General features: G+C 49.4%; 1 long non-coding RNA gene across 1 annotated transcript in view, besides 2 other annotated features; it reads left to right on the forward strand.

Moving 5' to 3' along the window:
• LINC01104 (long intergenic non-protein coding RNA 1104) overlaps positions 1 to 2,914 on the forward strand; it is a 43,231-nt gene extending 40,317 nt beyond the window's left edge. Inside the window, exon 3 of the long non-coding RNA NR_103730.1 lies at positions 494 to 2,914. This is a non-coding gene — a long non-coding RNA (long intergenic non-protein coding RNA 1104). The remainder of the gene's footprint in view (positions 1 to 493) is intronic.
• Positions 341 to 1,540: an enhancer, noted in NCBI's record as "P300/CBP strongly-dependent group 1 enhancer chr2:100865373-100866572 (GRCh37/hg19 assembly coordinates)". NCBI's record gives its function as "activates an origin of replication core promoter dependent on BRD2, BRD4, P300/CBP, MED14 and CDK7 cofactors, with strong dependence on P300/CBP, by STARR-seq in HCT116 cells {active_cell/tissue: HCT116}" and the evidence as "EXISTENCE:reporter gene assay evidence [ECO:0000049][PMID:35650434]".
• Positions 6,437 to 6,936: an enhancer, noted in NCBI's record as "H3K4me1 hESC enhancer chr2:100871469-100871968 (GRCh37/hg19 assembly coordinates)". NCBI's record gives its function as "activates a minimal SCP1, AML or CMV promoter by ChIP-STARR-seq in naive H9 embryonic stem cells {active_cell/tissue: H9 hESC(naive)}" and the evidence as "EXISTENCE:reporter gene assay evidence [ECO:0000049][PMID:30033119]".

The raw sequence follows: 12,855 nt of genomic DNA on the forward strand, positions 1-12,855 counted from the left end.
TCCATGCTCAAGCTATTCTCCTGACTCAGCCTCCTGAGTAGCTGGGATTACAGGTGCCCATCAACACGCCTGGCTAATTTTTGTATTTTCAGTAGAGATGGGATTTCACCGTGTTGGCCAGGCTGGTCTTGAACTCCTGACCTCAAGTGATTCGCCTGCCTTGGCCTCTCAAACTGACCTCAAGTGATTTGCCCACCTCGGCCTCCCAAAGGGCTGGGATTACAGGCGTGAGCCACCATGCCCGGCCGGCATGTATCAGTTTATTTATCCCTTCACCTGCTGAAGGACATCTTGGTTACTTCCAAGTTTTGGCAATGATAAACACGGCTGCTATAAACATGTGTGCTCAGGTATCTGTGCAGACATTAGTTTTCGGTTCATCTGCACAAATACCAAGGAGCATGATTGCTGGATTGTGTGGTAAGGGGATGTTTAGTTTTGAAGGAAACCACCAAGCTGTTTTTCACAGTTTGCATATTTTGCATCCTAACAGCAATGAATGAGAGTTCCTATTGCTCCACGTCCTCACCGCATTTGCTGCTATCTGTGCCCTGGATTTGGGCCATCCTGATAGGTGTGTGGTATCCGGTAGGTGTGTCTCATTGTTGTTTTAATTTGCATTTCTCTGATGACATATGATGTGGATTATCTTTTCATCTGCTCATTTGCCATCTATATATCTTCTTTGAGGCATCTGCTCAGATCTTTGCCTTTGGCCTTTTGTTATCTCTAAAACACAGAAGGCGGTGCAGGGTGCGTTAAGAAGGCATGTCTGGGCAAGTGGGTGCCTTTGCCTCTCCCTGCTGCCCCCGCACAGGGTTTCTCCAGGCTGTCTTGTCACCCACCTCTATTTGGTTGGGGCCACATTTACCAGGGATCCCCACTATCCCAAAACTCCTCTTGAACACATTGTCTGTCCAGGAGGGGCCTGTCGAGCTGCAGTTTATGTTCTATAGGTTCAGGCAGCTGCTGCTAAAGTGACAAGGTGACTCTCTGACCTGGTTTGCTGAGATAGTCGCGGATGACACCTCTTTTCCTGGCTTAATGGTTACAACTCCCACCCCACCAAAGTGTCTCAGTTTGGACAATAACCACAGTTATTATCCTTGGGAAAGGACATTTGGGCTCTGACATCTGGCCTGGCTGAATCACCTCCTCCCTGTTGGAGGGGGTCAGGGGTCAGGGTTGCTTCCCTGGAGCTCTGGAAAGACCAGTGAAGGTGAGGGAGGTGTGACAGTAGAAACTGCTGCGAAGAGCAGACTCCTCTGTCCATGGGCAGGGACCTCAAAGGCTTTCACTTCACACCCACCTCCATCAACGTCAATGGTCACCAAGGTCCTGAAGCCTTCCTGAATTTCTTCCTGCATTTCTCCAACCAGAGCAATTCTCTTTCTTTGAGTCCTCAAGTCCACACTGAGCTTCTTTCTCCTCCCTTAGTACATTCCTTCTCCTGAGAGACAGGTTAACATGCAGCAGCTCTGTGACCTTGGGCCTCAGTTTCCCCATCTGCAAAATGAGGAGGGTCATAGTGCCTGTCTCATAGAGTCATGAAGAGGATAAAGTGAATGAATACATGTGATGTGCTGGGAGCAGCTTCGGACACATGGAAATGTTCGCTATCATTTTAAGCACTGAATCTTAGATTGTAAGCATCTTTCCTTTAAAAGAGCAAAGTTCAAAGTTATATGTTGAGTAATGACCATATGCCAGGTGCTTTCACACCCACATCAATGCTCCAGACTCCAAGAGCTGGCGGTCATTGGATCCAGTTCATAGGGTGGAGAAGAGGAGGTTCAGAGTGGTGAACTAACGGGCCCAGGTCACACAGCAGAACAGTGAAAAGGTCATGGATGGCTTAAAATACCAGCCCTTCCTTCACCCTCCTTCAGCCTCTTTCTCTCTCTCTCTCTCTCTCTCTCACACACACACACACACACACACTCCCTTCATAAAAATCTCACAATGGCAAGTGTCTTATATGAGACACACAGAGGAGAAGATCCTGTGAAGAGGGAGGCAGAGATTGGAGAATCACAGCCACAAGTCAAGGAAGGCCGACAACCACCAGAAGCTGGAAGGGGTAAGAGCAGCTTCCCCGCGCTGTTTCTAGAGGGTGCATGGCCCTGCCAGTACCTTGATTTTGGACTTCTGGCTTCCACAGTTGTGAGATAATACACTTTCCTTGTTTTACGTCAACATTTTGTGTAATTTGTCTCGGCTGCCACAGAAAGTGAATAGAAATAGTTTTCCCTCAGCGCAACCTGGTGATGCACGTGTTCACTTTGAAAACACGTCATTTCCACCTGCAAAGGTTTTAGGTTCCTCAAAGGGACTGTGCAGAGGGATCGCTGCAAGTGAAGTCAACATTTGGCCTCATTCTGTTAGAACACCTGCAAGAGGAGGCTCAGGTGCTGACTGAACAAATCCCCTGGCTCTTGGGGTGGTCCATGCCTTTACCGAATGCCTCCTTTGTTGGGGTCATTCTGCTGGGAAGACATTCCCATTGGAAGATACTGGACCTTTCCTTTACCATGTCAGGCATGACACTCCTACGTTAAAAAACTGTCCATACCAAGGGCATGACAGGCAATTCATAGAAGAAAGCAGGATGATCAATGGCCTATGAAAGGATCCTCAGCTGTGGCTAGGCGCAGTGGCTCACCTCTGTAATCCCAGCACTTTGGGAGGCCAAGGCAAGAGGATCACTTGAGCCCAGGCGTTCGAGACTGGCATGGGAAACATGGCAAAACCCCATCTCTATAAAAACTTAGCTGGGTGTGGTGGCATGTGCCTGGAGTCCCAGCTACTCAGGAGGCTGAGGTGGGAAGATCATCTAAGCCCAGAAGGTTGAGACTGCAGTGAGCCACCATCGTACCACTGCACTCCAGCCTGGATGACAGAGTGAAACCCTGTCAAAAAAAAAAAAAAAAAAATCCTCAGCTGTTCTAGAATCAGAAGGCAAATAAAAACCACAGTGAGACACCTTTCAATTACATCAGATCACCTGAAATCAAAAGTGTTTCACAACAGCACTGGTAAACAATGTTTTTTGTTTGTTTGTTTTTTGAGATGAAGTCTTGCTCTGTTGCCCAGGCTGGAGTGCAGTGGCACCGTCATGGCTCACTGCAACCTGTGCCTCCCAGGTTCAAGCAATTCTCCTGCTGCAGCCTCCCAAGTAGCTGGGGTTACAGGTGCGCACCACCACACCTGGCTAATTTTTGTATTTTCAATAGAGACATGGTCATGTCTACATGTTGGTCAGGCTGGTCTCAAACTCCTGACCTCAAGTGATCCTCCCGCCTTGGCCTCCCAAAGTGTTGGGATTACAGATGTGAGCCAGTGAGCCCGGCCATAAACAATGTTAATAATTGTAGCTTTGTTTAGTTCGGGAAAAGGAAAGAACCCAAATGTTCACTGGAAAGAGGATAGACCTGTAAATTGAGGCACAGTTACACAATGTTAATTACCGATAAAGCTGGGCCTAACCACAGGTTGCAGGAGATATATATATCTATATAGGACACTGTGGAAGGTTGGTCAGTGTTTGAGGACTGGGGTGAGTAAGAACACACGCTTGGTTAAGGTGATTTTCACTTTTTTACTGAGGAACAGCAGACAAACAGCACAAAGTATGTAGCCAAGTTTAAGGGTAAAGTGAACGGCTTAGATTCCTTTTTTTTTTTTTTTTTCTGAGATGGAGTCTTGCTCTGTCACCCAGGCTGGAGTGCAGTGGCGCAATCTCGGCTCACTGCAACCTCCACCTCCCGGGTTCAAGCGATTCTCCTGTCTCAGCCTCCTGAATAGCTGGGATTACAGGTGCACGCAACCACATTTGGCTAATTTTTTGTATTTTAGTAGAGACGGGGTTTCACCGTGTTGCCCAGGCTGGTCTCAAACTCCTGAGCTCAGGCAATCCACCCACCTTGGCCTCCCAAAGTGTTGGGATTACAGGTGTGAGCCACCGCACCCCACTGGCTTATATTCCTTTTTACATCTTTAGTTCCTCAAACAAGCTCCATGGTCGGTGGTCTCTACAGCCTGTACAGAATGAGGAGTTTCCCAGGCTAAAGGCCGGATCTGAGGGCTCACTCACTACCTGTGTGTGTGTGTGTGTGTGTGTGTGTGTGTGTGTGAGTGTGCATGAATGCATGTGCCTGTGTGTGCATGTGTGCACACACACAGACGTTGGGGGAAGGATACACCAGCACTCACAAACCTATTATTTTTATTATTCTTTATTATATCATACTACCTATAATTGTTCACGTCTTAAAAATAAATATGAATCAAATCCATAAACATGTTAGGATTTGATAGAGTCAACAATGGGGCCAAAGGTGGGATTATATTCACAGGGCTTTTCTGTAGTATGCAACATTTCATTTCAAAAATCCGTCCCTGGGTCCTGTCAAGTTACCATCTGCCATCCCAGGTAGAAGTCAGGAACTAGAAGAACTCGCCAAGGTTTGGGAACCTTTGCAAATTGACCACTTTTGTGCTTTCTGTAACCCAGTCTCTCCTTGCAGGGATTATCAAAGCCGTTCTAAAAGTCGAAGAGTCCTGTGTATATATGTTTTGGTGGTCAGAAGAAAGAAGCGAGTGCCCAGGAGGCAGTGTGGAGTTTTCATGGATGACCTCCCAGGCTTGTCTCCTCCTGAGCCAGGGCAGGCCGCCAGATGGGCGTTCCAGCCCAGGGGAGAGCTGTGCTCAGCGGAGCCCCAGCTCCGTAGAATGTGAGTCCCTGGGCCAGGGTGGAGGGGCCCGGTTGGTGAAACCTTGCTTCTGGCCCTGAAAAAGACTTGGCAGGCTTTCCTGCCCAGTGGCTTAGGTGGCGCCTGAGGCATCTTAGGAAAATGCTGTTCAGTTCTTTAGAACCTGAGGTCTGGAGGATCTATTAACATGCTTTTCCCTGGGCTGACCTTAGGACCAGTTCGTTTACCGACATGAAGCGGCATGGCTTTCAAAATGAACAGTGGAGCCAAAGAGAGCAGGAAAGCAGAGAGACCCATGTCCACCCTGAACGCTGGTTGTAGAGGTCCCAGCTGATCACTCCTGGTCTTGACCACTTCCCTCCCCTCCCTTCAGCTGCAGCCTCTCATGCCTTTTGATTATGGTGCTGATGAAAGCGGTGGAAGCAGCTCTTCTCTCAGCATCGGCTACTCCACTTTGCAAGGCCTGCGTTTGGGTTGTGCTTTTCAAGTAAGGAGATGTTGCTACCCTGGGAATCACATCAATGTGTTCTTAATATTTAGGGCTTATTGGTACATGCCTGCTGACTCAGTGAAGGTCCTATTGGATGACAAAAACAAGCAGACCAAAAACTCAAAGGGACTGATATGGTCTGAGTGGCCACAGCTTGATCTGGGCTCATTTTAGAGGCGCTGGGCTGTGCTGCCCTGTCCCAGGCTGCTTGCTGCACACAGCTGTTGGGCGCTGGAAGAGTGGAGAGTCGAGCGGAGGTGGGTGCCGAGTTGAAAACCCACACCAGATTTCAAAGACAAAACAAAGGAAAATAACTCATGAATAGTTTTTCTATGGATTACATGTTGAAATGCTAATTTTTAGATATTTAATATATTAAGTGAAATAAAGTAATATTAAAATTGGTTTCATCTGTTTCTCTTCACTTTTAAAAAATATGGCTACTCGATTACCCATGTGGCTTGCATGTGTGGCTGACATTGTATTTAAGTTGTCTTAAGGGAATGTTACCCTATATATACTAAGGAATCCAGGCTTAAATGAACAAAAAACAAACACCCAAAAAAACAGCAACCAAACCAAACACTCTGCCCGGATGACCCAGCTGTTCCAAAGGTTCTTCTTCTTTGTCTTTTTTTGAGATGGAGTCTTGCTCTGTCACCCAGGCTGGAGTGCAGTGGCAGGATCTTGGCTCACTGCAAGCTCTGCCTCCCAGGTTCATGCCATTCTCCTGCCTCAGCCTCCCAAGTAGCTGGGACCACAGGTGCCCGCCACCACACCTGTATTTTTTTAGTAGAGATGGTGTTTCAGCATGTTAGCCAGGATGGTCTTGATCTCCAGACCTCGTGATCTGCCCATCTCGGCCTCCCAAAGTGCTGGGATTACAGGCGTGAGCCACTGCGCCCGGCCTTATTATCTTTTAACCAATGGTGGTGGGAGTGGCTGGCCTGAACAAGGGAAGCAGGAGGTGCATTGTCTATAGAGAATTTAAAATGAGAAGAAAACTAACTCAAGTTTAGCCCTCTTTTCATCACCACCACAAGCTCCGTTGTGAACAATGTCAGTCCTGAATGACGGCTCCCTGCCCAAATGGGCGGCTCTCGCAGCCCCTGCCCGGCCAGATGTGTCATGTCAGGTGACTGTGTGGTACCTTGGTGTGACTCTTGGCCTTTCTCCCGTCTGTAGAGGGGCCCTCTGGATCCAAGTGGCCATGGCTAGCTTCCTACAACCCAGCCTTCCTGACTTCTCCCAATTTCCCCTCAGCCTCCCGGCCTTGGGCTCGCTCTCCAACGTGAAGTTCTTGCCTCTGCCTTGAATCAGGACTCTGTGGCCTCACCACCACCTGCTGGCAAGCTCCTACCCTTGCCTCAGGACCCGGCCTGGCCTCTCCCCTTCGGTGAAGCCCTTAGCGTCTCGGTCAGTTGGGGCTGCAATAACAAATTACCATAGACTGAGAGGCTTCAAGATAAACACTGATGCTCACAGTTCTGGAGGCTGGAAGTCTCAGGTCAGGGGCCACATGGTCAGGCTCTGGCGACGGCCCTCTGTCAGCTTCTCATGTGTCCTCACATGGTGGAAAGAGGGCAAGAGAGCTCTCGGAGGTCACTTTTATAACGACTCCAATGTCATTTATGGGGGCTCCACCCTCATGCCTCAATTACCTCCCAAAGACCCACCTCCCAGTACAAAGCCATTACACTGCAGGGTTAAGACTTCAACATGAGACTCTGGGGGGCACAAACATTCGGTCCATAATTGCCCATCCACATGGAACGCCCCATCTGTTCATCCACTGCGCCTGCTGCACACCTTAGGGTTGCACTTTAGTATTGCGTTATAATTTTTTATCATTAAGTAGAGCCAGACTACTTGGGTACACACCCCAGATCTGGCCCTTGAGAGCTGTGTGAACTTAGGCCAATCACTTAACCTCTCTGTCCTCATATATAAAATGGGGTAAAACCTCAGTTTCCTCATATATAAAATGGGGTAATAGTACCTCCTCCACGGGGCTGCTGGGAAGATGAAATGAATTAATATCATACAGTAGCCTCTCTTGTCCATGGCTTCATTTTCCACAGTGTCAGTTAGCAGTCATCAATGATGGTTCGAAAATATGAAATGGAAATTTTCAGAAATAAGCAATTCCTAAGTTTTTCATTGCTGCCATTCTGAGCAGCATATTAGACTCTTGTTCTGTCCACTCCCTCCATTTGTCTCATCATGCCTGCATTTCACCATCTCGCTCATCGCAGGAAGGGTGAGTGCAGTACAATCAGATATTCTGAGAAAGAAAGAGGCCACATTCACATAACTGTATTACAGTATATCGTTAGAATTGTTCTATTTTGTTATTAGTTGTTAATCTCTTTCTCTGCCTAATTTATAAATTGAACTTTATCCTAGGTATGTACATTTAGGAAAAAGCAGTATTGTAGGATTTGGTACTACCTCAGTTTCAGGCATCCAGTGGGGGTCTTGGAACTTTTCTCCCATGGATAAGGGGGTGACCGTACATGGGGCTAGAATAATACCAGGAACAGTGCATGGCACGCTGAGCTCCATGGAAGGTGCTAATATTAATATTGGGGGCGATGCTGTGTCTGTCTTCCCTTGAGGGCAGGCCTGGGCTTTGCTCACTTTCCTGTACCCGGGGCCCATCACAGAGCCTGGGCAAGGGAGGTGCTTCATTGTTGTTTTCTGAGTTAATATGTTGTTTTCTGACTAAGTGATAAGAAACAGATGTTGCAGCGAGTCTGCTATGCCCTGGGGCGCCCCTTGGGACACTAGGGTTGGCTGCCACCCCGGCCCCCACCTGATCTCTGCTGGTGCCCCCAGTGTCAGGGGCCGCATCTGACGGGGAGGCTGCATTCCGACCTCTGCTTGGGGGCCACAGGCTGACATCCCCTCTGCTCCCACCGGTCCCTCACTGGCCCCCAATCGCTCCTGACCTCCAGTCCTGACCCCGCTCACCCACCACCCTGCCCACCTCCTGGGCCTGCGCTTCCTCCCACAGCCCTTCCTGGAGGGCAGGGAGGAGGAAACGCTCTTCTCAGGGATGAGGGTCCACTGGGAAGGGGGTCCCCTGGGTTCAAAAGACCTTTGTTGTCCCCACGACAGCTTTGGTGCTTCACTAAGTGTCCTGGGGCTGCAAAAAGCATAGAATTGAAAAGCTCCTAGATGAGGGTTCCCTGGAAAAACAGAACCAATAGAAAGTGTGTATCTGTATTCACAGAAATATAGTTATTCTAGGGAATTGGCTGTCGCAATTGTGGAGGCTGGCAAATCCACAGGCCTGATGTCCCAGTTAGAGTCCACAGATGGAAAGTTATTGGAGAACCAGGAAAAGCTGATGTTCCCATTCAAATGACAGCAGTCAGGTAGGAGAGGCACCCTCTTCCTCAGCCTTTTTATTCTATCTGGGCTCTCAGTTGATTGCAACCCCCTCACCTCACATTAGGGAGGGCCATCTGCTTTACTCTCTCTATTGGTTTAAATGTAAATCTCACGCAAAAACAACCTCACAGAAACACCTGGAATCATGTCTGCCTAAACATCTGGGCACCCTGTGGCCCAGTCAAGTTGACACATAAGATTGGCCATCACAGCTCCTCCCAGGTGGGTGCCAGGGAGTGATGAGGAAAGGAAGGGCCCGTGCCAATGAGAGAGACCAATAAGTGGCATTGATTTTCTGGCTCAGATCCTTAGTTGTGCCACTGCCCCCTATACAACCCTGGGCAAGCCAACTTGTCTCTTTGTGCCTGTGTCTCCATCTAGGCAGTGGGGCCAGGCCAGTGCCCACCTTGGAGGCAGCACATGCAAAGGGCCCTGAGCTGTCCCTGGCACCCTGGGTGGTGTCATTGGTAGTTTTATAGTGTGGTTGGGACCCTGGCCAGAGAAGCTGGAGAAATTTGGGGCAAGGAGAATGAGGAGTGAGCCAGGAAGGCTCCCAATTAAACTAAAAAATCACTGCCGTGGCTTTGCATCTTATTTTCTTTTATTGCATTTTAGCTTTTGGATTTAGGGCCTTTTGAAGGTGAATTTCATCAGACTGAAGAACTGTGTGAAAACCTGCTTTTTCTGGACTAAATACACACAGGCGGGTCAGATACCCAGGACGCCCAGAGCCCTCCCTCTACAAGGCATGGGCGTTCCTCCTGCCCTCCACCTTCCAGATGCCAGGGTCTTCAGGGTCCTGCATTCATGCAGGGACGCTGAGTCCAATTCAACTACCTGCTCTCTAATCCCAGCTCTTTCTAGCGGGGCATTTTAGGTGATTCATGCTGCAGCCTGCACGAATCAAAGCTAAAAATAGGCACATTTTCATGGCAAGAGAAAACAGAGTCCTTAGAAAACACGACTCCCGGAAAAACCAAATCAGTAATCCAGACTCGGCGGCCCTGGGCGGATGACCAGTCATGGGTTCAATTTGTATTTCCTGAGCACCTACTGTATACAGGGTGCTGGGGGTGGGGCCCTTTTCTCTCTTCTCATGGATCAGAAGGAAGGAATTTCCCCTCCTTTGTCACCCCAGGAGAGGAGCGCCTTCTCATCTGAAGTTTGAACTTGACATTCACGGTCCATCGTTCACCTGTGGGCACAGTGCTCCTGCCCCTCCCACTCCTGGCTCCATGCTCACGATCCTGGAGGCATCCTCCTGGAGGATGCTCATTCCACAGATGTGCCCAGATAATGTAAGATGCATAGACTTCGTTGGCCTAAAGAAAATGTCTTCCAATTAAGCTGTCTTCCTGCTAGCATTGTCTCTTCAGAGACACCCCATGGGGTCTGGGGGGCAGAGAGCTGGGGACGGCATTGGTGTAGGGCAGGGGTAACTGGCTGGGGTGGAAAGCCTGCTCCCCCAGTCCTCAGATGTGTGAATGGCAGCAGGGTCACCTAAGCTCCTTGAGTCTGCCTTCCCTCCTCTGTAAAATGGGATAATAGTTGTGGAGCCCATGGGCTTGCAGTGAGGAGCCCGCAGATGTCAGATGCTGTGGCTGTCCTCGTCATCATCATTATTAGGACTGCTATTATGATGGCCCCACCAATGGCGGTCTGTGCATTAGCCATCTGAGGGGTGTCCAAAGGCCACGGACTATCCCCACATCTGCATACATCCTTGTGGTACTTTCTCTTTTTTAAGGTTCTTAAGAATGCATGCAATTTTTTTTTTTTTTTTGCAGGTGAATCTGGGATGGGACCTTATTACTCCCCTTACACCACCAGTAAAAATTGGCACACCTGATGAACTCATCGCTACCCACTGCTAGATGCCAGAGCAGGGGATGGAGGAATGAGCAAGTAGCACCTGGAGTCTGATGGGGGGCAGCAGGAAAGGTAGGGGTTGGGAATGCCGAAGAAGGAAGGGTCACCTTAAGGAAGCTGGTGCTGGGGGCAGACTTCACCAACAGGAGAATGGCTGAGGCATGGCCACAAGCCACCCTTTCTCTAGTGCAGTGCTTTTCTGACTCTCGAGCACATGCGTGGCTGCTGCAGGTTTGTTAGAACCCAGCTGGCTGGTCCCCACCCGAGAGCTTCTCATTTGGCAGATCTGGGATGGGGCCGAAGACTGCATGTCTGGCAAGTTCCCAAGCGATGCAAACATGGCTGCTCTCAAGAATGAGCTTTGAGAACCACTGTTTAAACCCATAATCTTCAAGTGTTTCAAAGCCAGGGATTGGTCAAATGAAATATTTTGGAGGCAAAAATAAAGCAATGAGGCCGGGAGTGGCGGCTCACACCTGTAATCCCAGCACTTTGGGAGGCCAAGGCGGGCGGATCACTTGGGGTCAGGAGTTCGGGACAAGCCCATGCAACATGGTGAAACCCCATCTCTACTAAAAATAGAAAAAGTAGCTGGGAGTGGTGGTGTGTGCCTGTAGTCCCAGCTACTTGGGAGGCTGAGGCAGGAGAATCGCTTGAACCCGGGAGGTGGAGGTTGCAGTGAGCTGAGATCGTGCCACTGCACTCCAGCCTGGGCGACAGAGCAAGACTCCGTCTCAAACAAACAAACAAAAACAAACCAAACAATAATAAAGCAACAAACAAGGTGATGGTACAGGGCTTGGCAGTGCCAGACACTTCCTAAGGCACAATTCCAAACCAAATGGAAATTCTGAAGTTCCCCCTTGGCTTTAGACCAGGCATCAGACAGCAGTGAGTCCAGGCCTTGTGTTGTGCATCTTAAAAGAACTGGTTCCAACCACATAGTATTCAGGATTGGGTGTCCCAGCAATCTGTGTTTCAGTGAACCCAGATGCTTCTGAGTGTGTGAAGGCTTGAGAGGCACTGGCATATATCACTTATAGTGGCTTCAGTTACCTGCTGATGCCCATACCTGCAGCTGTATCTCACCCTAGGTGGCAGCCTCAGGTCTCCTGAGCTCACAGCCAGCTCCACCTGCACCTGCCTTTCCCAGGCTACTGAGAACTTACATCTGAACATATAGCTGAGCTCAGATCCTTCTCCCCAGCCTCTCTTCTTCCTGGGCTCCCTAACCCGAGAAGAGCATGGTCATGTACTAATTGCTCACTATGTGCCTTGCACTGATAGGCGCTCCATATACATTAACTCCAAACCAAGGTAGATATTAGAATTCTCATTCTATAAATAAGGCTTTCAAGTCTCCAAGAAGTGAAGCACCTTGTCCAAGGTCACCTAGCCAGCAAAGATTTAAACCCAGGCCTGGGGCCTGCAGCACAGTCCTTTGACTCTACCACGCTACCTGGCATCATGCACCCAGCAGACCCAGCAGACAGAGCCAGAAACTCACTCACCATCCAGGACCTGGATTTATTGCATTTGATATTCACACCTTTTTACAGAGAGGATCTACAGATTTCATCAGCTGTGAACAACAACAAAAAGAGTACGTAGGAATTCCAAAATCCTGTAATAACAATGAAAATCACGGTAAGAGTAATATTTTGGAAGACTGTTCTCTGGTTCAAGGCCTTACACTAAGCGCCTTCCCGCCTGGCCGTGGGGAGGGACTTAGCATGTCCCAGGCAGCTCAACTTTGCAGAAAAGGAGCATCTCCCATCCCTTCCACAGGCAGCAGCTTTCTCCAGTCCATGCTTCAGAGACAGAGGCACCCTGCCGAAGTCCCTCCATTCCTGAGGGTGCAGTGACCCCATGTGGCCAATTCCAAATGTAGCCACTTGATGGACATTGGGCTGTGACTGCTATTTCTTCTTCATTTAAGCAATTCTCCAATTGCTGTCTTTTGCTGAAGTTTTGCTTTCATTCCACTGAGGAGGAGAGGCAACAGAGGCGGCTTGGAATGGGAAGGGCGGGGCTGAGCTTGCAGGGACAATGTCCACCTAGCCTGCTGGCCACAAGGACCCTCCAGCTCTGAAGGTGCGCTGAGAGCGACCCCTTCGGGCCACATTGGAGGGGCAGCAACAGGTGATCTGGATGGCTGGCCTGAAGCCTTCTAGGCCCCAACCAGGCTGCTGCATCGCAGAGAAAGGAGAGAGAGAGACAGATGAGACCAAGGAAACTCTGCACTGAGTCACCCCCAGACTCAGGAGGGGGAAATGGGGGGCTGTCATGTGAGAGCTGGGAGGGCCCATGGGGTTATCAAAGTCATGGCCACATTTTATAAAGACAGCGAGGGCCAGAGTGTGACAAGGTCTCTCCTTAAAGCCGCCC

The sequence above is a fragment of the Homo sapiens genome, chromosome 2 (assembly GCF_000001405.40).
Source record: "Homo sapiens chromosome 2, GRCh38.p14 Primary Assembly".
NCBI lineage: Eukaryota > Metazoa > Chordata > Mammalia > Primates > Hominidae > Homo > Homo sapiens.